This window comes from Homo sapiens, chromosome 18 (genome assembly GCF_000001405.40).
Source record: "Homo sapiens chromosome 18, GRCh38.p14 Primary Assembly".
NCBI lineage: Eukaryota > Metazoa > Chordata > Mammalia > Primates > Hominidae > Homo > Homo sapiens.
The window spans coordinates 2,974,542-2,998,693 of NC_000018.10; the positions used below are offsets into that span (position 1 = coordinate 2,974,542).

Here is a 24,152-nt window from a genome sequence, read left to right on the forward strand (position 1 = left end):
ATTCATTTTCTCATGGTCTTAACTTTTTAAACATTGTATATCCTCAACAAATTACATAAGCTGTAATTCAGATGTTTTACTCATTATTCTTCCTAATGTTAGTTACAGGGAGATGATGGGGGAAAAAGTGGAGAGGGCACTAACTTACCCCTTCCAATTGCCATTTTAGGCTGCGTGCGTTGGCTCACACTTGTAATCCCAGCACTCTGGGAGGCCAAGGCAGAAGAATTAGTTGAGCCCAGAAGGTGGAGAGCAGCCTGGGCAATGTAAGGAGACTCCATCTCTACAGAGAATTTTTTTAAAAAGTAGTTGGGTGTGGTGGCGCATGCCTGTAGTCCCAGCTACTCCGGAGGCTGAGGTGGGAGGGAATGCCTGAGCCAGGGTAGTGAAGGCTGTAGTGTGAGCCATGTTTGTGCCACTGCACTCCAGCCTAGGCAACAGAGCAAGATCCTGACTCAAACAAACAAACAAAAATTGTTTAAACCCCAAATGCCATTTTACGTACCTCATCTGATTTAATCCTCACAACTAGGTGAGGTAAATGTTATATTCATTGTACTAATAAGAAAACTGAGGCCCAGAGAAGCAACTTATCTATAGTCTAGCAGTTACCCAGAGACATGACCAGACAAAAGCCCTGGTATGTCCATCTTAAATACCCATTCTTGTTTCACTGAAACCTAAAACAGCTCCTAAAAATTTATGGAATTTTCAGGCTATGTGTGGGTAGGAATTTCATAAAGGCTTTTAGAAGGCTATGATGATTCTTCCATATGCTACCATACATGAAAAATCTTAAGCCTTTTTTTTGAGATGGAGTTTTACTCTTGCTGCCCAGGCTGGAGTGCAATGGTGCAATCTCAGCTCACTGCAACTTCTGCCTCCCGGGTTCAAGTGATTCTCCTGCCTCAGCCTCTCGAGTAGCCGGGACTACAGGCGCGTGCCACCATGCCCAGCTAATTTTGTATTTTTAGTAGCGACGGGGTTTCTCCATGTTGGTCAAGCTGGTCTCGAACTCCTCACCTCAGGTGATCCACCCACCTCTGCCTCCCAAAGTGCTGGGATTCCACGCCTAGCCAAGCCTTTTATTATGAGTAGTCTTACAGATACGATTACGTTATGAACATAAAAGTGTGTTTTAAGGGGTATGTCCTTATCCTAAACCTTCTAAAAGAATTGTGTAGTAAACCTATTTTGGTGGCGACTATTGATAACCATAAGCAACTCTAAAATAAGCCAGGAAATCTGATTATTTGGCTTAATTCCACATACAAAAGGCACACAATTTCAGCAGGTTGCTATAGAAGCCATGTGCAGTATTTTCAGGGTTGACTATCACTGACATTGGTGGGATACAATTTTTTTGAATTTTATCCAAAATTCAAACACTCCAACTTTGAAACACTCCAACTCTATCGGAAGTTTTTTCTATTTACACACTGACCTAGAAGTCAGGAATTTGTACGATTCTTCCACTATCCAAATTACAGCCCCAGACTGGAAACAAAGTAATATATTACTATAGGTTCTATGTCTAGGGAAGGACATGTTAAACTTTGCTCATCCCCCTTATTTCCCATCTCATCCTCTCTCACCCATTAAAGAACTTTAGTTAATATCACAGTTAACATTAACACAATTAGGGAAGTTTAAAATGTCAAGTAATTACGTGTCCTAATTGTGTTAATGCCCTGGGGTGAAGGTCTCTCAACCTGTACCATATTGTATCCTAGTAAATGAGGGTAAGAACCAGCCAGATGGACTACCATTGCAACTCCTGTAGCTAAGGTGGCAGCTACTAAATTAACAAGCACATGCAGGCCCAAAGTTCACAGTCAGTACTCTCAGTAACTGGGGTTGAAGGGTTTCTTATCAAGAAGTCTGATAGAGCACCTGCTTTAGAAAGCAAGCTACACGTGGAAAAAAGAATGTAGGCTGCCTTATCAAAAAGAAGATAACTCAAGGACTAAAATAAATTTGGTTTTAGTGGAATCGTAAGCCTGTCATTTGTCTGCGTGGATTGTTTACATGTTTTTTAAAATGTTTAACAGCTTCCCTGGGCATTCAACCCACTAAACATTTCCTGAGGTGTGCTCAATTTCTCTGACAAATGTTTATAAGCATACTGGCCATGAAACTGTACCACTTCCCACGCAAAACAGGGGACTTACTTTACTAATGAGAGCTAGCTAGGAGTGACATAAAAATTCTTTTTAGTATAAGAAGAAATGATGATTAACCCAGTTATGGAAAATGATACTTCACCATGGAACAGACTGTTCATTAACAAAGAGTACTTAACTAAGCCGTAAGAGCCTTTGGATCCACAGATATACATCCAAAAGTCATCGTTCCCCAAGACTAATTAATCACAAACAGCTGGGGCTGGGTGTGGTGGCTCATGTCTGTATTCCCAGCACTTTGGGAGGCCAAGGTGGGCAGATCACTTGAGCCCAGGAGTTCAAGACCAGCCTGGGCAACATGGAGAAACACAGTCTCCACAAAAAAATACAAAAATTAGCCAGGTGTGGTGGCACGTACCTGAGGTCCTAGCTCCTTAGAAGGCTGAGGCGAAAGGACTGCTTGAGCCTGGGAGGCAGAGGTTGCCTCCTACACTGCACTCCAGACTGGGTGGCAGTGAGACCTTGTCAAAAAAAAAAAAAAAATCATAAACACCTGGGAAAGCTTCTAAAAATAAAACTTCCTAGAGAGGAAGCTAAAATGAACCCTGTGGTGCTGGACTGGAATTGGAGGTCTCGGTATGAACCCATGGTTTTAAAGTACATACACAGGTAACTAGATGCACAAGCACTGATGTGTTTATACCTGAGCTAGAAAACACACTCAAATATCCTAACTCTCTGTTAAGAGGACCTAGAATCAAGGATACTCTCAAAACAATGTGCATATCTATGGCTCAGATCTTGCTTTCTGAATATCATTCTCCAATAAAAGGAACCAGGGTTCCTTGGAAAAGTGGTTGATTCATTCCATGGCTGTGGGCAGGAAAATACAAGATAATGCTGGAGCATCTCGTGGAGTCAGAGACTGGGAAATGCTCAAAATCAAAAGAGCAAACGTATGTCAGAGAAAAAACAGGAGTATACTCCCAAGAGCTAAACACAGGACAATCTGAGCAACAAAACAGGATTACTAGATTACAATTAGCTGAATAAAATATTCTTGAGTCCTCACTGATAGAATAAATTAATATATAAGTGAGAAATGACAGCTCTTACAGATGAATTATAATTAATGAAGAAAAAATGAAGAAACTAGAAACTCACTATTGGAATATATCACAGTATTATTTATGGAAGGCAAGATCCATCAATGGATGTTAAAAACAGAAGACAAAGTTTGAGGAGAGGCCGGGCTCGGTGGTTTACACCTGTAATCCCAGCACTTTGGGAGGCCAAGGAAGGTGGATCACCTGAGGTCAAGAGTTCAAGACCAGCCTGATCAACATGATGAAACCATCTCTACTAAAAACACAAAAAGAAGCCGGGAGTGGTGGCACCTGTAGTCCCAGCTACTCAGGAGGCTGAGGCAGGAGAACTGCTTGAAGTCAGGAGGCGGAGGCTGAAGTGAGCCAAGACTGCGCCACTGCACTCCAGCCTGGGCGACAGAGCAAGACTCTGTCTTTTAAAAAATAAAAAATAAAAAAAAAAGTTGAAGGAGAAACAAGATAAACAAGATGTCTGGATATTCTCAAAGTATTTTCCCCAAGATACACATTCATTACAAAAGGAAAAAATTTTAACTCTATAGTAGAGAAACCTGGAAGACACCACCATAATCAAGTGATCGGGAAAACTTAAGACACACTGACCTCAGGGACTCCTGGTATGACTCACTGAAAAGGACTTTTGAGGTATTTTGACCAAAAACACACAACCTCAATCTAATTATGAGACAACATCAGACAAACCGAAGTAGAGACAAATTCAACAAAATATCTGACCAGTGCTCATCAAAACATCAAGGTCATGAGAAGCAAAGACTAAAGAACTGTCACGATTGGAAGAGACTAAGGAGACAGGACAATTCAAGGTAAGGTTGGGCTCTGGAACAGAAAAAGGACATTAGTAAGAAGAATCTGAATAAAGTCTGTAGTTTCATTTTCAAAACAAAACAAAACAGTTATTCTTGGCCTCCACTACTGCCTTCAATTCTGCTTCAGTCTGTCTGGGAAATCTGTATTTTCTTTTGAAAGCTCCACAGGGATTCACTCAGTGATGAGTCAGATGTGGGCATCATCGTCCTTGGGGCTCACTTCTCACCCCCGGTGCACGTTGCAGTCACTGAGGTGCTTGGGGAATCCTCATGATCAGGCCACCCCATCTGCAGATTCTACTGCAAGTACTTTTGAAAGCCTCCAAATGATCCCAGAATGTAGCACATCTCAAGCTGTGCCTCAGGACCACAGGTAGGTGGAATGACTCCCAAACCCTCTTGTTTTCTTGACAGTGAACAGAGCTGAAGAAGGGTGGTGTAGTAGTTCCTGTTCCTTTCCTGCCTCACTTCCTGGCCTCAAGTGATCTACCTGCCTGGGCCTCCCAAAGTGCAGGATTACAGGTGTGAGCCACCATGCCCAACTGAGATTTTTATTTAGATCCTTTCAGAGTTGTGTCCATCTCCTCTAGGCCAGGCCAGCAGCCTCACTTTTTGGGACACCTAAAGGCACAGTGATGTAACTAAGGTGTGTTTTCCCAATGCACGAAGACTACACCTGGATCACATCTACAAAACAGGGCTCACCAGGCACTCTAACGCACTGAGTATGCTGAGTATGTAATCAGGACCAAGTATCCAGGCAAACTCAACATGGTAGCATTCATACAGCCATTTGCTGGATATCTGCCCAGCTGTGTTATTCATAAACCCAGAGCAGCAAAAAATTCCGACATATTAGTGGAGGCAAACAAAAAAAAATTGATTTACATGCATCTACTGGACTCAGTTGTAGTACAATAAATATTTGCTAAATGAAGACAATTTTGTTTCCTCTACATTAATAGGCTTAGCTATGCAATATACAGTGTGTGTGGAGGCAGTCTGTGTGCATGTATGTTTTAATTGTAAACTACTTCTAAATCCTTCCTTACTGAAAACAGATGGGGGCACAAATATAAAAATGAATAATAAATAATTTTCAAATAGCCGAAACATATTCATGTCCACAGTCCCAAAACTACTCCCCCCCAAATTCCTGAGTTCATCTGTGGCGAGCATGCTTTGAAAACAAAGACTTTCAGAGAATTTACTCCCCCAAACTGCCTAACCAGTAATCTTGTATGGTCCCTCAATATATCCTCTTAGCAGGCCTCAGAGTTTTCATTTCAGTGCACACTGTCACTTGGCTAGTGAGCCTACCAAAGCACACCTGTAGGTTTACTAGAATCCTCTTCCTCCAATGCAGCTACTTCTGCTGCGCTTAAGGAACCATCACCCATTCACAGCTCAGTGGCAAGAGCACAAACACTCCTAAAACTTAGGGGAGTTAGGAGGGAGGAAAGGTATCATTTTCAAGCCCAAAGTTACTAGCTATGGAGAGTGGGAGCTAAAACATGGCTTGAAAATGGAACTCAGAAAATGTTTGTCTCAAAAATTTTAGCGAAACTTGGCCCTTATCCAGAAAGAAAGAGGAAATTCTTGCATTAGCCCTTCTTCCCCCTTGTTCTAGGACTCAGAACTCTGGTTGAGTTCTCTGGCTAATTATGAGACAGGCATAGCAACATTATTTCTATGAGGAAATAAAATTCCACTCAATTAAATAATTACTTTTTTGAACACTGGCCATGCTAGACTGGAGGAACACAGTTAGTTTTAGACTTGTTCACCTCCAGTTGTTCTAGGAATCTGGGCAGCAATCAGTAATGACAACGTGTTATGGTTCCCCACCACCAACCTCAGCCCCACCCCAAATCCTGGGTGGACTAAGGTTTCCTAACTTAGCATGATGCACGCTGCCTCGTATCATGTGCCCCACCTACAGGGTGACTTGCCACCTCTGACCACTGTTTGTGTTATTAAATCTGGTTGAGCTTTTTGGCATCAACCAGAGGTGCCCATGTCCTTTGATAAATAGCTCACAGAGATGAGAATTGAGGGACACTGCCCTCAGGGCTTCCTGGAGTCCCCTGAAGCTGGTGAGGATGTGAAGACTCAAGATCAAGTCTCGCTTCCGCTGGAGAAGAGGTCTGGGCTCTGTGCCGGGGGTTCTCTCTAACAAGAATGGTCAGGTGACCTCTAGAGTCCCCCCCCAGCTCTAAACTGCAGAAAAGCTCCAATTCTATAAGCATTTCTGAGGATTACAAGTTTGGCTAAGAACTCCTGTAGTATATTCTGCCCTAAATGGGGTGAAAATATGGCCAGTAGATTATTCTGGGACTTCAGGTTATTTGAATATAAAATAATTTAGCTTTTTCCTTAGCAAATAAAGGTATTGTCTTCACTTGTTTCAAAAAATATGAAAACATGGTCTTTGAAATTTCCCAATTTCTAACAAAGCACAGAAATCTTCTCATGGTTTTCCAAATCATGATATGATACATTTATATTCCCAAATCACAAAACCATGAGGAAAGACTCTTTCAAAACTGAAACTGTCACCTTACAAAAGGGGTGCCCAGAAAGGATGTGATTTGTAAGGAGTGTTCAGGTCACAGAAGGCCTGGACCCTGAAAACCAGGGTTCTCCCTCTAACCACACACACCCAGGTTATAAAGTCAAACTCCTATATAATCATTACAGGCTACTAAGCAGATATCAGATCCTTATCCCAAACGTTAGCATTAAGAAAACTCATGCTTCTCATGGGACAGGGAGGTGACTCATTAGACTTCAATGTTCTAACGGCAACATAAAATGGGACCGTTAATAAAATGCAGCCTAAGCAAACACCTCTTGACCTCTTTCTGGAAAACACCAGCAGACACAAGTCTTAAGAACTTCCTGTGAGGGAGAGTTTATGTGTGTTAGTGCTACTTAATATATGAATGTTTAAAGTATTTCGTAAAAAGTCAGCAAGGTTCTCTATTCTCCCTTCTGACCTTTACAACAAATGTGAGTGAGCCAATATGTGTATACATTCTATAATATTACAATGTTGATTTCAAAAGCAAACTGCCTCCCCCGTGGTAGCACCTGACTCTTCCATTCATATTCAAACCACGTCTTTCCATTAGTTCCTGAGAACTCTGAGTAAGTACACTTTCACTAACAGATCCAAAAGCAAAAAGCAGAGTGTGATAACATTTTTAAAGATAATAAACATTTGTATAACCTTAAAACTAAAATCAAGTTATGAGCCACAGATTTTAGAAACTAATTTTTGTCTCACTGATTTTATGCTTGTTTTCATAAAAATATCCATCCTTAATTTTAAAAAATAACCTTGAAAATAGTGTTTCCTTCCTATTATTTTTAAAGGAAAGCTTCCACAGGTAGAGTTACACTGTCCTCAAGTCACTTGATTTTGTTTCTTTAATGCAGATTTCTGGGACTTACACTAAGCTTACATAACTTGTTCTAAGTTATATTTTGTAACAAGAGAGAAAACTCTGGATTAAAGAAGTTCATACAATTTATATTTTCCCCACATACTTCAAGCTTACAAAAATTCTTGTTTATGATCACAGAAGAAAGCAACTGCAGCCACTCTCATATATCCAAATACAACGTCAGCTTCAAAATATTAGTTTACCATTCCAAAAATTATGACTAGGCCAACAAAAACTGTAACACTTTTATATGATTTTTACTACTACACTTAAATGCAAAGAGAATGTGAAACCAAATATATTATTTTTGAAACATAATTTTTAAAAATTCTCAGTTTAAAACAGCAACTTCATTTTTTTCCTAGGAAAAAAAAGTCTTTTGTTAAATAACAACGAATAGAGATAGCAGAAAGATGGCATAGTAAATGCAGGAGGGCAGGTAGCCAAAGATTTCTGTTCAACATAACACTTAGAAGTTAATAAAATTCACTACAACATTACATTTTCCTAAGAAAGGGCATTAGTCTTTTTCTTTTGGTGGATGCCATCCCCTTGTCTCTCAGTAGTGTCCAGATTGAGCAAGCAGCGAAGGGAGCAGGGACATTGGGAGATGTAACTCACCAAGATACCAGGAGGGGACTTGTCATGGTAAACATCTTGAGTTTTACTTAATGAGCCTTTACAAACCACCTCATCTTCCTTGTCATCTTCTAAGTAAAACATCTTGAAATTTAACTAGCATGTCTTTTTTCAGAGATGAAGGTATATAATCAAAACAGAAAGCTGCTCTCTTGACAAACTGAGTACAAACTGCTTGCAGACACAGTTATATGGCTAAAACTGAAAGGAAATGGTTCTTAAAAAAAAAAAAAGCAATGCATACACAAGTTTACCAATGAGATTTGCTCAAAATACCTCAACCCCTTCTCCCCAAAGGAGATAAGCAGGGGCATGGGACAGGTTGTGCCATGTGTTTACACTGATAGGCACCAAGACCTGCCCAATCACATGATGGCCACTGCAGCTTCCATCACACAGGACAGGGATTGAGTTAATGATTCTCTAAACCAATCACATCCTCATTTTTTAGAAATAAAAACAGCTACTACACATATGGAGAGTGATCTTACATAAGCTAATCATGTAAGGGAAGTAATTTACAGACATTTTCCGAGCAGCAGGGAGCTTCCCAAAGTCAGCCAGATTACATGCCTCCAAGAGCCCAACTACTGAACACTTTTCCTTTGTCAGACTGGTGTGACCCAAGGTATTTTCACAATTCTGGGAGATATCCTGCTCAGTACTGTATATAACAAGCAGAATTTATTAATTTCAAGAATATGATAATGCAACACTGTAAAATTAAAACATTCCTGGTATTTCCTTGGCAGCTCTCAGTAAGTCAAAACATAGTAATTTTAACTGAATTTTTCTAAAAACCGCAAACACACAACTCACATGGACAAACATATTAGATTTCTGAATTAAGATACACTGTTTTTTTCATACCATTGTCTAGGATTGTGCTGTTCATCACAAACAGCCATTAGCCACGTGTGGCTACTGAGCAATGGCAATCAGGCCAGTACCAACTGCAATGTGCTCCAAGTGTAAAATACACACTGGATTTCCATGACTAAGAATGAAAAGAGAATAAAAAAACTCATAATTTCTAATATATACTACATGTTTAAAGGATATTTTGGATATACTGAGTTAAATAAGAAATTACATTTACTTTTACCTAGTTTTTTTTTTCCCACTTTTTAAAATGTGATTACTAGAAAATTTGAAATTACACATGTGGCTCACATTATATTTCTATTGGACAATGCTGCTCTAAGGCCCCGAGACAATCTTGAGAACAAGGTGGGGAAAAGGCCATTCAGGCAAGTTATAGGTAAGGAAGAACTGAGGACAACTGGATTGTTCATCATTCCTTTAAAGTATTTAGTTAATTCATCAACAATATACTAGCTGATCCACATCCATTTAACCTTCACATTAAACCCTTTTCTCTGCATCTAAACTTCACAAAAGACAAAATTTTCAAATGTTTGACCAAGTAATAGGTGTCTGGTGATGCTTAATACAGTAACATATCACCAAGGTTCATATAATAAAAACATTAAGTGGCAGAATTAAAAACCAATTTCACCAAAATTAGAAATGGCAAAACTTATCTTGCATGCAGCATGTTTTCCTGCTTGCCTTCTAGCCCAGCATAGTATCGTGGACCTGCAGTACACCAAAGTGCCCAGTCACTTGCGATCTAATTCAACACACATCATGTACACAAACTCCTACTTCCAGAAGAGAATTGTTTAGGTTTTTCTGGCCTAAATTTTATGCAATGAATAAAAATTTAAATCTCTTCATCCATGATCTACTGCAGTTCAGGATCCTTGGCATCAGATGGTAGTGATAAAAACCGGATATTGGGGTGCTGCCGGTGGAGAAAAATGGAAGAAGCCAGAGGTCAGCAAGAAGGGGAGGCTAGTAGGAGAAAGAGAGATTAAAGAGAAACCTAAGAAGGTGAAAAAAAGAAAAGTTAGAGGGGCAGAGGAAATAAAATGTAGAAGAGATGAGAAAATATTCAACTGGATAGCAGGAGAAGGGGAAAACTGTAAGGAGGGTGGAAAGAAGAAAGACAAAAACCATATCCACTTTAAATGTGAGGAAACTGAGGCCCAGAAAGAGGTCAGGCAATTAGCCCAATGTCACTCAACTGGTCAGCAAAGGTGCCAGGGAGAAGAAGCCCCCCAGTTTCTGGTTCAGTGCTTTTTTGTGTTATGCCAAGCAGAGACCAAGAAAGAACATGCTGGGGATCAGCAGGAGGAGGCTGACAAGAGGTAGGAGCAAAGGCTTAGCAAGTGAGGCGTGGTGGAGATCCAGCAGGGCAGAGGTCAGCGGGTAGAATTCTGTTCAGCAACTCTTGCCTACAATGCAGCTTACACAACAGGTGGGGCACCCAAGCCAGTCATTTGGGGGTTTCCTGATAGTGTTTGTATTGTTTCCTTGTTTTAGCTGATGACTCCCAGAATGTCCTGACTGCAAGGAACATGTACTATGGACCCATCAGAAGTGAGCTCATTTTCTAAACATCTGTGTTGCCAACAGGCACACACCTAAAGTTTCCTCCTATGGCCACCTGTGGATCACCCTGACCTTCAAAGCTGGTAGCCAAAGTTCTGCTTCCACCCCCACCATCTGCAAGGTGGCACTTTTCAGTCTTGATGGATAAATGTTAAAAATCACAACCAACAATTCTTAATCATCCCTATGATTTTCAAAGGAAAACGCTACTGTATTGTCAAACTTTTTCTCTACAGGCTAAAATAAAAATAAATGACTACTGAAAAAAGCTACTTTTTACTTTTGTATAACATCTTCAATGATCTTTTTTTTAAAAAGTGCATAGAATTTGGAAGTCTTTTTCCCAAGACTTAACTCTTTCAAAAAAAAATAGTCTAACTTAGGGAAACAAAGCTAAAATGCTAGTTAGGAAAAACAGAATCCTGTTCAGATTCCACAGCTTTAATGATGCTAAGTAAAATATATACCTTCTTTGTTTTTGTTTTTTCTACTACTAATCCCATAAGTATGTAAGACTAGGTATACAGGGCTTTTTAAGAGGGTATAACGATTTATTTAAAACTTTCTAGCTAGAATTTGCTTATCTGAAGCTGTACTAAGCTGGTTCAACAGAAATACCTTTACACCACAAGCATGTTATTTTACCATAAAACATGAAAATAATTGTACTCCCCCCCAGTGGCCATACTATGGAAACACAACACCTTGCTCCTGGATTACCAATGAAGATGTGACAAAACTAAGTTTTGATTATTAAAAAATCATGAAAATATTTTATAACCTCAATTACAAAGAATTTCATAATACCCACCGGAATTCCTCTATAGTGAAGAACCTAAGTGCATTTCTGCATTTTCAAGACTCCTCATGACAAAGGGAACATGTAAAGGACCATGGCTCACCTGAAACAAATGTTTTCATTTAGAGCCAAATGGCTCTCACCATCTACACCAAAGCATATGAAGTGTTTCTTCTCCTAAATGGAATCACTTATAATTCACTGTTTATGAAAACAACCCCAAAGGGACTGACGTTTTATTCAAAACCAAGATAAAATTCCTCTTGCTACCACTCTTGGGTTTTTCAAACATTTGTAGTTTAACTGCTCATTGGGTAATGGTTATATAGTTTACTCAAGTTCCAGTGTTTCATAATATCCTCATATAATCTCAAAATTCTAAACAAGATAGCTAGTGGCTGGCAATTTCACTGAACTGTGAGTGAATAACCAAATGCAAACAGATCTTTCCAGGAACAGAAGAGAAAAAACAAGGGAGGGTCTCCTGAGGTCAGACGCCCAGCTTAAAGTGACTCTCCCAAAGATAAACTTCTTTGAAGACTTGTCATTTATCTTTAAAATTCACACATTTTGTAGTCTATTGTGATAAGTCTATTTTTTTAATGTAAAAAAAAAAAAAAAAGAAAGACTAACTGGCCAAAGCTTTCTTCTTCCAAGTTCAAAGGTTAATGCAACACATTTACTGTAAGAATTAGAGGATGCTCAGTGTACACATCGCAGTTTAAGGAGCTTAGGACCAAACAACCTCTGCGGTCTAACCCTTCCAACACAAATGTTTGAGGTCAAGCTTTTACCCACTATTTGGAGACAAGAGAGACAATACTGAGAGTTGCCTGGCTGTAGCAGTCAAGTGCATCTGAACATTAAGAGAGTAAAGCTGAACAGCCTAATTTAGGATCAGAGTAATTATGGCCTGACTTGTGTCACAACTTTTGGACAACATTTTCAACAAAATAAAGCCAAAAGAAATGGAAAACCCTCTGTTCTGCTCAGGCAGGACTCCTGAGGCCTCAGTTGCTTGACAGGGGTGGAGGTCGGGGGTGAAGAGGGGGCCTGTTAATTGCCTAATTGTTTCTGTTTAAATGTCTTTTTCTTCTCCCATTTCACCTCTGAATAGCAGTTTGCACAGTGATGACACCCTTAGGTATACGATTTTCTGTTCTGGGGTTATATCACCCCCATTTCATTCAAACTCAAAAAATCCTGTTGAAATGCAAGTCTTACTATCATCAAATTTTAAAACACTAAATAATTTTCAAAGTGTAGTGCTTTAATCTTTTCAGAAACAAATTACTTGTTATAGACTCACAATAACAGGGGTGGCTCAGTGCATCACAACACTGAGGCCAAGTGAAGGTGCTGGAAGAAGCCAGTGCTGGGTTCCTATACTCCAGATCAAAAAGTGAGATAGCTTAAAGCTTGTCCCCCAAAAACAGCAACAAACAACAAATAAGGTGAGCAAGAGTTGATTATATCATTAAGACAATCCAAAGAAAATATAAGTGAAAATTATCACAAAATGTATCGGCATCATGTAGGAACCCCTCATCCTCACATTCCTTGACTTATTTTTTTCCACGTGGACATTTCAGGTCCATCTTTGACTCCAATTTTCTCTTCCATAGCTGGTTCCTCACAACAGTTCTAATTCAAGATTTTCTCGACCACCTGAAAAACTGGTGATGGTTGTTTAAATTATTCTGTTGCTGTGATCTCTTTCAATTACTTAAAAATTTTTTATTTAAAAGATATTTGTAATCAGCTTTACTTAGTAAATTACTCTTAGTAATTACTCTTCTTCCTGCCACCTTCTTCCATCTATAGAAACGAACGGCTGCTGTAATTTTAAGTGTACTTAGAATCCAGGAGGGTGGATCACTTGAGGTCAGGAGTTCAAGACCAGCCTGGCCAACACAGTGAAACCTCATCTCTACTAAAAATACAAGAATTAGCTGAGTGTGGTGGCTCACGCCTGTAATCCCAGCTACTCAGGAGGCTGAGGCGGAGGTTGCAGTGAGCCAAGATCATACCACTGTTCTCCAGCCTGGGCGACAGAGTGAGAGACTGTCTCAAAAAAAAAAAAAAAAAAAAAAAAAAGAATCATCATGAGTGCTGCCAGCAGGCCAGATGGGTAACAGTATAAATTACTTATCTGTAGCCTTAAATGGGTCCCCAACAGAATCTGGCAACCCTCCTTTGTTTCTGTGGTCAGCTCTCTCTCCAAATTTCTGGTTCTTTTTCAAACTTCCATGCTCCTCAACCTGACTATATTCTGCCACTCTATTTCCCCATCAGAATGTACAACATTCCATATTCTTGAATGCAGGCTCATTTATGCTCTTCAGGAGAAACGGCAAAAATGACTAATATACTTTGCTATGAGAATAAAGAATTTAGTTTCACAATGTTTAGAAATTCTAATGCTATACTTAAGTGTTATGAAGAATTTTATTTAATTGGTGAAATTTAAATTAAAATGAAAGTAACTGAATTCTTAAATTATTACACTCAGTGAATCTGCCTACTTCAATCTAAAGCTTGACTGAGATGTGTAAGAAAAAGAGAAAACCTGAAACACTGATACTCAGCTTTATATGTAAGTTATATTCTACACATACAGATGAATCCAATTCCAGATGGTGACGGTAATTGCAATCTCCAGTGAGGGTAAAGCCTCAATGCACTAAGTAGTAAAAGAAAAGGGGAAAAGTTAGTCAGCTTTGCTACTCTTTCAAGTTAAATGCTGGTAATGTCTAAGATTTAACCTTGTAATGTCAAGACACAGATAGGATTCAAAAAGCAAAGAGGCATCTGAAAGTTGCAACATGAGAAGAAATGCTCCCTCTTCTAAGGATAAAGCACCATTGAAACAGAACAAGTGTGACATTTCATTTTATTTTTCTTCCAGACTCAACATACTTTAATATAAAAAAGCTCTCTCAGGAACAGGGCATTTAGTTTGTGTAAAAATCTTCAGCCTTTGCAACAAATTAATTGTATTCAATTTGAAAAAGTATACTTCAAGTACAACATAGGTATTTATATTGAAATCATAGAAGAAAACACAATCCTGGCAGCCAAGCACTATTTATTTAGTATTTACTCTAAGCCATACCCTGGAATTAATCCTTTGCATATATTATCTCTGATCTACACAATTCTCATGAAAGACAGATTTGCTTTATCCCTATATTTTACAGATGAAGAAATGGAGGTTTAGAGAGAGGTTATGTTAAATATCCAAGGACAAACCAGCTAGAGCTCAAGATGTCTTCCACAGTACCTTCTTAGACTCATTATTTAAGCTGAAATTCAGATTTACTATGCTAAGTATTTCTAAAATCTCAAACATTATGCAATGCATCTAAAAGAAAAAAAATGCCTAGGAATAAATTTAACCAAGGAGGTGAAAGCTTGTACAAATAAAATTGCAAAAATCACTGAAAAAAAAAATTAAAGATAACCTCAGTAAATAGAAAGACATCCGTGTTCGTGAATAGGAAGACTCAATATTGTTAAGATGCCAATATTACCTAAAGCGATCTTCAAATTCAAGGCAATCCCTATCAAAATTCCAAAAGCCTCAAATTCATATGGAGTTACAAGGGGCCCTGACTAGCCAAAATAATACTGAAAAAGAGCTAAGTTGGAAGACTTCCATTTCTTGATTTCAAAACTTTCAAAGTTACAGTAATCAGGCTGGGTGCAGTAGCTGACGCCTGTAATCCCATCACTTTGGGAGGCCAATGCGGGCAGAACACTTGAGGTCAGGAGTTCGAGACCAGCTTGGCCAACACAGTGAAACCCCGCCTCTACAAAAAATACAGAAATTAGGCAGGTGTGTGGCAGGCTCCTGTGGTCCCAGCCACTCGGGAGGCTGAGGCAGGAGAATCACTTGAACCCAGGAGGTGGAAGCTGCAGTGAGCTGAGATTGCACCACTGCACTCCAGCCTGGGTGACAGAGTGAGACTCTGTCTCAAAAAAAAAAAAAAAAATTACAGTAATCAAAACATTGTAGTACTGGCATAAAACAGACATACAGACCAATGGAATAGACTTGAGAGTCCAGAAATAAACCCAAACATTTATGGCCAATTGATATTTGACAAGAGTACCAAATCCACTGCATGGCGGAAGGAATAGTCTCAACGGATGGTGCTGACACAACTAAGTTTCTATATGCAAAAGAATGAAGTTGGAACCCTACTTTACACCATATTAAAAAATTAACTCAAAATGGATTAATGACCTAAAACCATAAAACTCTTAGAAGAAAACATAGGGTAAATCTTCATGATCTTGGATTTGGCAAATGATTCTCAGATATAACACCAAAAGCATGAGTAACAAAAACTAGATAAATTGGATTTCACTAAAAGTACTTTTTTTTGTATCAAAGGACATGATCAAGAAAAAGAATCATACAGAATGTAAGAAAATATTTGCAAATTGGGGAGTTTAACTCTAGAATATATTTAAAAATTCCTACAACAACTAAAAGACAAATGATTCAATTAAAATATGGGCAAAGGATCTAGATAAACCCTTCTTCAAAGAAGATATACAAAATGGCAAATAAATACTTGAAAAGATGCTCAACATCATTAACCATCCGGGAAAGGCAAATCAAAACCACAATGAGATACCAATTCATACCCACTACGATGGCTATAGTTTCTGTTAAAAAGGAAGAGAGTGGCCAATGGCCGTGACTACTGCAACACACACCTCATCCATGACTCTCCATTTATGAGAAAGACATATTGCAGTGGTAGGAAACAGAGACAGAATGTCAAAGATTACTATTAGAAATGGATGGAAGAACAGGCTCAGAGCCTGACTGACAAAATAAGGGTTGCACTTCAACAAGGAAAGATACTTCCTACTTCAATCTCTGTTCCCCGCCGGCAGGGACAATGATACTACCTCCCTCCAGTCTTCTGGGTCCTCCTCATCCTGGTATGATGCCAGCACCCCACACGGGGCCCTCCTCCTGGGATGATGCCAGTGGGACCTGCTCCTGGAATGAGGCTGCCCATGGGAGGCCACATGCCAATGATGCCTGGGCCCCCAATGATGAGACCTCTTGCTTGTCCCATGATGGTGCCCACTTGGCCCAGAATGACTCGAGCAGACAGAAAGGATAGAGGGGAGGCCTCCCTATATCAGTTTTATATTGCTTGCTCTGCTTCACCAGGAGATCACAATGCTGTGACTCTGGGTGTTTTCTTATCAGTCTGATACAGAAAAGGTGCTCCCCCTTCCTATTAAAGAAAGAATCATTTTGGAGTGGAGAAGTGGGACAAAAAAAGTGCAGTTTTTATCTATATTGTGAAATATGAAAATAAAATTGTCAACTTTTTTTAAAAAAGGAAAATATATGTTAGAAAGAAAACTGGAGAAACTGAAACACTTGTGCACTGTTGGTGAGAATGTCAAATGGTGTAACCACTGTAGAAAACAAGTTTGGTCGTTTCTCAAAAGCTAAATATGGAATTACCAGGCTCGGCACAGTGGCTCACACTGGGGCGGACTAAGGTGGGAGGATCATGTGAGCCCAGGAGTTAGAGACCAGTGTAGGCAACATAGTGAGACCCTGTTTCTACAAAACATAAACAAAATGAGCCAGGTGTGGTGTTGTACACCTATAATCACAGCTCCTGAGAAGGCTGAGGTGGGAGGACTGCTTGAGCCTAAGAGGTCGAGGCTGCAGTGAGCCGAGACCATGTCACTACACTCCAACCTGAGCACCAGAATGAGGGCCTGTCTCAAAAAATAATAATAATAAGGCCGGGCACAGTGGCTCACGCCTATAATCTCAGCACTTTGGGAGGGGGAGGTGGGTGGATCATGAGGTCAGGAATTCAAGATCAGCCTGGCCAAGATGGCGAAACCCCATCTCTACTAAAAATACAAAAATTAGCTGGGCGTGGTGGCGTGCACCTGTAATCCCAGCTACTTGGGAGGCTGAGGTAGAGAACTGCCGAACACAGGAGGCAGAGGTTGCAGTGAGCTGAGATAGCGCCACTGCACTCTAGCCTGGGCGACAGAGTGAGACTCCATCTCAAAAAAAAAAAAAAGTATAATACAATAAAAAATAAATATAGAATTGCCATATAATCCAGCAATTTCACTCCCAGGTACATACACAAAAGAACTGAAAACAGACATTTGTATACCAGTGTTCACGGCAGCATTATTCACAACAGCCAAAATGTGGAAACAACACAACTGTCCATCAACAGATGGAGAAACAAAATGTGTTATATTCATACAATGGAATATCATTCAGTCATGAAAACAAGTGAAGTTCTGATACATGCCACAACATGGACGAACCCTGAAAACATGCTAAAGGAAATAAGCCTGACACAAAAGGACAAATGTCATATGATTCCAATTATGTGAAATATCTAGAATAGGCAAATTCATAAATAAAAGGTAGATTAGAGGTTACCAGGTGGAGGAAATGGAGAGTTATTGCTTAATGGTTACAGAGTTTAGAGTCATGAAAAATTTTGGAAATAGCAGTGATGGTTGTACAACATAGTAAATGGTAGTTAATACCATGAAATCATACATTCAAAAATGGTTGAATCTTACTACAATTAGAAAATTATGCAATGGGGCCAGGCACAGTGGCTCACACCTGTAATCCCAACACTTTGGGAGGCCAAGGTGGGCAGATCTTGAGTTCCAGGAGTTCAAGACCAGCCTGGGCAATACAGTAGTGAGATCTCATCTCTATAAAAAATCTTTAGGCCGGGTGCGGTGGCTCATGCCTGTAATCCCAGCACTTTGGGAGGTCGAGGCGGGCAGATCATGAGGTCAGGAGATGGAGACCGTCCTGGCTAACACAGTGAAACCATGTCTCTACTAAAAATACAAAAAAAAATTAGCCAGGCCTGGTGGCGGGCGCCTGTAGTCCCAGCTACTCGGGAGGCTGAGGCAGGAGAATGGCGTGAACCTGGAAGGCGGAGCTTGCAGTGAGCTGAGATAGCACCACTGCACTCCAGCCAGTGAGACCCGTCTCAAAAAAAAAAAAAAAAAAAAATTTAAATATTAGCCAGGTGTGGTGGTGTACATCTGTAGTACTCAGAGGCTGAGGTGGGAGGATGGCTTGAGCTCAGGAGCTTGAGTGTGCAGTAAGCCATGATTGCACCACTGCGCTCCAGCCTGGGAAACAGAGCGAGACCCTGACGGAGGAAGAAAAAAGAAAGAAGAAAGGAAGAAGGAAAAAAGAAGAAAGGAGAAAGGAACAAAGAAGAAAGAAGAAGAAAGAAGAAAGAAAAAAGGTAGGAGAAGAAAAATAGGAATTAAAATTATGCAATAAAACTCTAATTGAAATGTAAAGCAATGTCAATACAGTCCATAGTTTAAAATGAGAATATATTTGTTCTTGGCTATAAATATCATCTTCTATTCCTATACTGTTACAAACTTCCTAGGTTATTTGAACAACTCACTGAATATCATTAACCCTCAATTTCCTCACCCAAAAAGTGAATTTCTAGATAATTTCTATGTATCCTTCTAGGTAAAACAATCTGACATTTCGAAAACTATGGCTTTCTGAGCATTCAACTCTACTAAGTAGAAAGCAAAGTATTTCCCACAACTTAGTTTTTACCACGAGCTTGGTGATTCCACAGCAATAACTTCAACAAAAAGTTAACGTGTAACTTTCATTTTATGTATACCTACACACAACAGAGAGCTTCTTCCTTCAGTCAAAAATTACACTGGACCACAACAAATCCACTTCTGATCTCAACACAAATTCCTAATCTTAGCTTCTAAACATCTAGAAGTAACCCTAGAGAATATATATAGCCCATGAGTAGTTTGTGCCATTCTCATTTCTGAGAACCCAACTAAGCTTTGCAATATACCCTCTTTACAGAAAACATGCAAACCAGCAGCATACATGTATACCGACACAACCATACACAGATTTGTGCTCTGAGGATCCGATGGAACCCCTCTATGGTTAGTCTGCAGACCCCAAGTAAAAAACCTCTGGTTCTAAACCACACTGCTATTTGAAAGATGAGAGCATACAGGTATTGAAAAAGTCAATTACTTCCCAGCCAAAGTAGTTAAAACATGCTCAATCTAGCCTTACACCACACAGTAACAGCCCTTAAAATGAAGCAGTACAGACTGTACATAAATGTACGCCTATCATTCAAGAACTTGCCCAGTGCCTGTAATATCTCAGGTACCAATACTGCCTTTAGTCCTGGGTCCTGCACTTTAGAAGGCTCTGTGTATCATAAACCCAAAATACAAAGGCAGTAAGTGTTTTTCTTCTTCATTTCAGACCTCTAGGAAAGTTTTTTGAAGACAATTTAGCTAAAGGAACAGGTGGTTATCACAAGCCAAGCTGCCCCAGACCTGTGCCCTGGTCAGTGTAGATGTGTGCAGCAGACCTATGGTCAGGCTCCCTAGGGCAGCTGGCAAAGGACAAGGCTTCTGCAGGGCCACTGGTGGCCATGGAGGCCGGGCCATGGGGGTGGTGACTGGATTTATAGCTTTAAAAAAATTTTTTAATGATATATCATAGTTGGGGAGGACATATAATAATATTTTATACATGTATACAATGTGTAATGCTCAAATCAGGGTAAATGGGATATCCATCCCCTCGAACATTTATCTTTTCTTTGGATTTACAGCTTTTAATAGTTTAGATACAGGTTTTCTCAGCCTATTGACATTTTTGGTCAGATAATTCTTTGCTTGGGAGGTGAGGAGTGTAGCAGCCCTGGCCTCCAACCACCAGATGCCAGTAGCACCCTCCCCAGTGGTGACAGCCAAAAAAATGTCTCCGGTTATTTCTGAATGTCCCCGGCGGCGGGTGGGGGCGGTGTGTGGGCAAAATTGTCTGCAGCTGAGAACCACTGGTTTAAACAGATGGTATATGGCCCTGTATTGATAAGCCTGTTCTGACTGGGTCCCCACAAACATGTTAGGGGTGGGCCGGCAAGCACATGACTTGGCTGAATTTAGACAGGGAGTTTTATACCACAGCTCTCCCACTTGATACAGACCTCCAGGATGGAACCTTCTTCAGTTTCAGGTCAACCTAAGCTTCACAGGCCCCCTTCATATAGCAGGGTTCAGAGCACCTGTCAGGTAGGACTGCTGTGAGGATCCCATGAGGTGGTGCCTGGAAACCACCAGCTGCTTAATAAATGCTAGTTTTCTTTTTTCTTCTCATTAAAAAAGAACTATGAACTGAATAGTTCCAAGACCTATGCCACAGTAAGTGCTTAGCAGATGACTGTTAGGATAGGATTCTAGCCATCAAGGAGCTATTTAATAATGAGGGACACTGGAAAGGAAAACAAATGACTTTCTAAATCTAAATGCTTCAATCATCAGCTCTTTGCATGTTTTAACTTCCCAAACCATTTCCCTATGCCTTAAGACTCATCCAACTGAACCCCACTCTTCAGCCTATTTGTCCCCAGTGTCTTCTCTTCTTCCAAGTTTTGGTGTAAAACTGTTTAGTCACATCTACACTCTAGTATGAATATTGTCTTTTAAATCAATCACCTCTGAAGGCTACAATAAATTAATTCCACTGATACACCACTGTGTAACATGACATGAGGGCTCCCCTTTCTTCCTGAAAGAACTATCTTTAAATTTAATTTAGGTGCCACACAGGATAAAAATGAGTGTCAATACCACATAGTCACAGAACTCTTATACTCCAAAAGTAAATATGATTCATCTGACATGCGTGGTTCATCAGATGTTGCTTTGAATGGCTTCTGGCTATTTCCAAAAACCTAATCTACCTTGAAGGGTAAAGATTTTCCACCGCTGGGGATAAAAGGATACACTGTGAGACTCTGAAAGCAATTTAAAAAGGAAGGGGTGTTTCAAAATGTTTTCCAGAATGACAGCATAGATGAAATGTATATGCTGTCCCTAAAGTGCAAAGTACATTTCATTGTGTAAGTTTCTGGTCATATTCCTTCACAGTCACATTTTTTAAGCAGGGTACCAAGCTTCCTTATTACATGTGTATAACGGAGGACAAAACTGAAGAATTAGAGGTAATTAGCTCTATGGACAAACTTAAGACTTATTAATAAAATGTTACGGCCGGGCGCTGTGGCTCACACCTATAATCCCAGCATTTTGGGAGGCCGAGGCGGGCGGATCATGAGGTCAGGAGATTGAGACCATCGTGGTCAACACAGTGAAACCCCATCTCTACTAACAATACAAAAAATTAGCTGAGCGTGGTGGTGCATGCCTGTAATCCCAGCTACTCGGGAGGCTGAGGCAGGAGAATAGCTTGAACCCGGGAGTGGGAGGTTGCAGTGAGCCGAGATCGCACCACTGCAGTCCAGCCTGGTGACAGTGCAAGACTTCATCCCAAAAATAAAAGTGTTACATTGGTTCTTTTATAATGTCCATCAATTACATCATCCAACCTCTCCATTTCAACAGGCATGGTGACGTTGCAGAAAAGATATGACTACATGCTTACCTCCCAGGAAAATATCTTTTTTTTTTTTTTTTTTTTTTTTTTTTGAGACAGAGTCTCTCTCTGTCACCCAGGCTGGAGTGCAGTGGCGCCATCTCAGCTCACTGCAAGCTCCGGCTCCCAGGTTCATGCCATTCTCCTGCCTCAGCCTCCCGAGTAGCTGGGACTACAGGTGCCCACCATCACGCCTGGCTAATTTTTTGTATTTTTAGTAGAGACGGGGTTTCACCGTGTTAGCCAGGATGGTCTCGATCTCCTGACGTCATGATCCACCCACCTCGGCCTTCCAAAGTGCTGGGATTACAGGCGTGAGCCACCACGCTCGACCAATATCTTTATCTATCTATTGAGTATCATATATATCCCAGAATAACAGACCCACATCCCACCATCTCCAAATAAAGCATCATTTGGTTCTACAAAGGCCTTGCCAATGGCACCAAGTTTGCTATATTTGCTAATGGTAAACTTCTGCATAAGAGGTGCCAGAATCAACACATCATAAATATGTACATTTCATTTTTGGAGGCTTGTATTTTTCTTTTTCTTTTGAGACAGAGTCTCACTCCCTCACCCAGGCTGGAGTGCGGTGGCGTGATCTCGGCTCATTGCAACCTCCACCTCCCGGATTCAAGCAATTCTCCTGCTTCAGCCTCCCGAGTAGCTAGGATTACAGGTACCCACCCCCACGCCTGGCTAATTTTTGTATTTTTAGTAGAAACGGGGTTTTGCCATGTTGGCTAGGCTGGTCTCAAACTCCTGACCTCAGGTGATCCGCCGGCCTTGGTGTCCCAAAGTACTGGGATTACAGGCTTGAGCCACTGTGCCTGGACTCATTTTTGTTTTTTGTTTTTTTTTAGTAGAGATGGGGTTTTACTCTGTTGGCCAGGCTGGTCTTGAACTCCTGACCTCATGTGATCCACCCTCCTCAGCCTCCCAAAGTGCTGGGATTACAAGCATGAGCCACTGCACCTGGCAGAGGCTTGTATTTTTCTAAACATAACAAATTCAAAGGAACATTAATGAAGTCAAAGCTATAGCAGTCACTTTCAAGACATCATCAGAGTACCAGGCCACTATGCCTATAACTCTGCAGTGTGCCACAATGAAACCAAGACAGTGCCCCAATTCTGATCAAAAGGTGACTTCTGCTGCATAAACAATTCACAAACCTTACATATGGCATCAATCATTGTTTAATGACTCCTGTGGGGGGAGAGCAGGCTCTTCCATAATTACTAAAAGCAGTATAACTCAAAAAGAAACAAAAAGTCACCAATTCATCAGCTTACTTAGCTGATGTCACAGAAGTAGCAGGAGGATTCCTTACCCCCCATGCCACAGACTTAGTTTTTCAAACATCTCCAATTTCTTGCTTTTAGCTCTCAAGGATGCAGTCCCCCAGCTTCCCAGAGGGAAGTCTGCTAGATCGGTAAGCATGAATTCACTACTTCCCTACTGTTTCCTTTGGAAGTGCCTGAAGTGTCTCCTTGTCTCAGTTAAACAGAACATGGTGACCGTGAGGCAGAGTTTCCAGTGCCAGGCAGCTCCAGGCACCCTGTGCCTGTGTTCTGCAGAGGAGTCTTTCCCAATGTCAATCAAAACACAGCTCAAGTTTCATGCCCTGCTTTATTAAATTCTGCATGGTGCCCACTGGGACCACAATGGAATCTTCAGAAACGTAAGGAGAGGTACCTCCCTTTCCTGGCTCTGGGAGGACACTTGGGTAAAGGGAAAGGCTGTGGCCATACCAACAGCACTGCTGCAATCAATGCCACCAATCACTCAGATTTAGGCTATTTTTAAGTAGTTTTGCAAAACAAATGCCAAGTAAGGCTGCACCAGTGTGTTATCACAAGCTGACTTGCATACTAAGCTACTTCAACAAGAGAGAAGGACTTCCAAGAGCAACAGCAAGTCAGCGAAACAGCACTTGAAAGTCAGAAAACAAGGCCTCTTTCACTCACTGATCTGCTCAACAGCAGTGTCTATTCTATTCTGAGAGCTGGGGATCAAGCAGTGAACTTGGCTGACAAGGTACCTGCCCTTGTAGTGGTTATATTCTAATGTGGGGAGGGAGAAAACAACAACAACAACATATGTTAGGCTGGGACAACTATTATAAAGGAAATAAAAGAGGGTGCTGCTCCCTGAAGAGAGGGAGGAAGAGCAGGAAGAGCCACTTTTAAGGAAAGAAAAGCGTTGTAGAGCCCAGAACAGGAAAATACATGACAGATTTTTTTTT

At 40.5% G+C, this 24,152-nt stretch overlaps 1 protein-coding gene, 1 long non-coding RNA gene and 1 pseudogene across 8 annotated transcripts in view, besides 3 other annotated features; 2 read left to right on the forward strand and 1 right to left on the reverse strand.

Moving 5' to 3' along the window:
- Window positions 1–24,152, reverse strand: part of LPIN2 (lipin 2) — a 96,151-nt gene that overhangs the window by 57,548 nt on the left and 14,451 nt on the right. The window contains exon 1 of one of the 7 annotated variants that reach the window (XM_005258177.5): window positions 8,127–8,306. The exons of 5 other annotated variants lie outside the window; for them this stretch is intronic. In XM_005258177.5, coding sequence (XP_005258234.1) covers window positions 8,127–8,228 — 102 coding nt within the window. In that variant the 5' untranslated portion in view covers window positions 8,229–8,306. Of the gene's footprint in view, window positions 1–2,541; window positions 2,636–8,126; window positions 8,307–24,152 lie in introns of those variants that run through there. One more of the 7 variants, XM_017026099.2, reaches the window with a different exon arrangement.
- Window positions 322–823: an enhancer, noted in NCBI's record as "H3K4me1 hESC enhancer chr18:2974861-2975362 (GRCh37/hg19 assembly coordinates)". NCBI's record gives its function as "activates a minimal SCP1, AML or CMV promoter by ChIP-STARR-seq in primed H9 embryonic stem cells {active_cell/tissue: H9 hESC(primed)}" and the evidence as "EXISTENCE:reporter gene assay evidence [ECO:0000049][PMID:30033119]".
- On the forward strand, window positions 3,814–10,869 carry LOC124904236 (uncharacterized). The gene is made up of 2 exons (XR_007066268.1): window positions 3,814–4,429; window positions 10,533–10,869. It is a non-coding gene; the product is annotated as an uncharacterized LOC124904236 (long non-coding RNA).
- On the forward strand, window positions 16,109–16,769 carry SNRPCP4 (small nuclear ribonucleoprotein polypeptide C pseudogene 4; annotated as a pseudogene).
- Window positions 23,604–23,703: an enhancer, noted in NCBI's record as "active region_13033". NCBI's record gives its function as "activates an Ori minimal core promoter by ATAC-STARR-seq in GM12878 lymphoblastoid cells {active_cell/tissue: GM12878}" and the evidence as "EXISTENCE:reporter gene assay evidence [ECO:0000049][PMID:35858748]".
- Window positions 23,774–23,923: an enhancer, noted in NCBI's record as "active region_13034". NCBI's record gives its function as "activates an Ori minimal core promoter by ATAC-STARR-seq in GM12878 lymphoblastoid cells {active_cell/tissue: GM12878}" and the evidence as "EXISTENCE:reporter gene assay evidence [ECO:0000049][PMID:35858748]".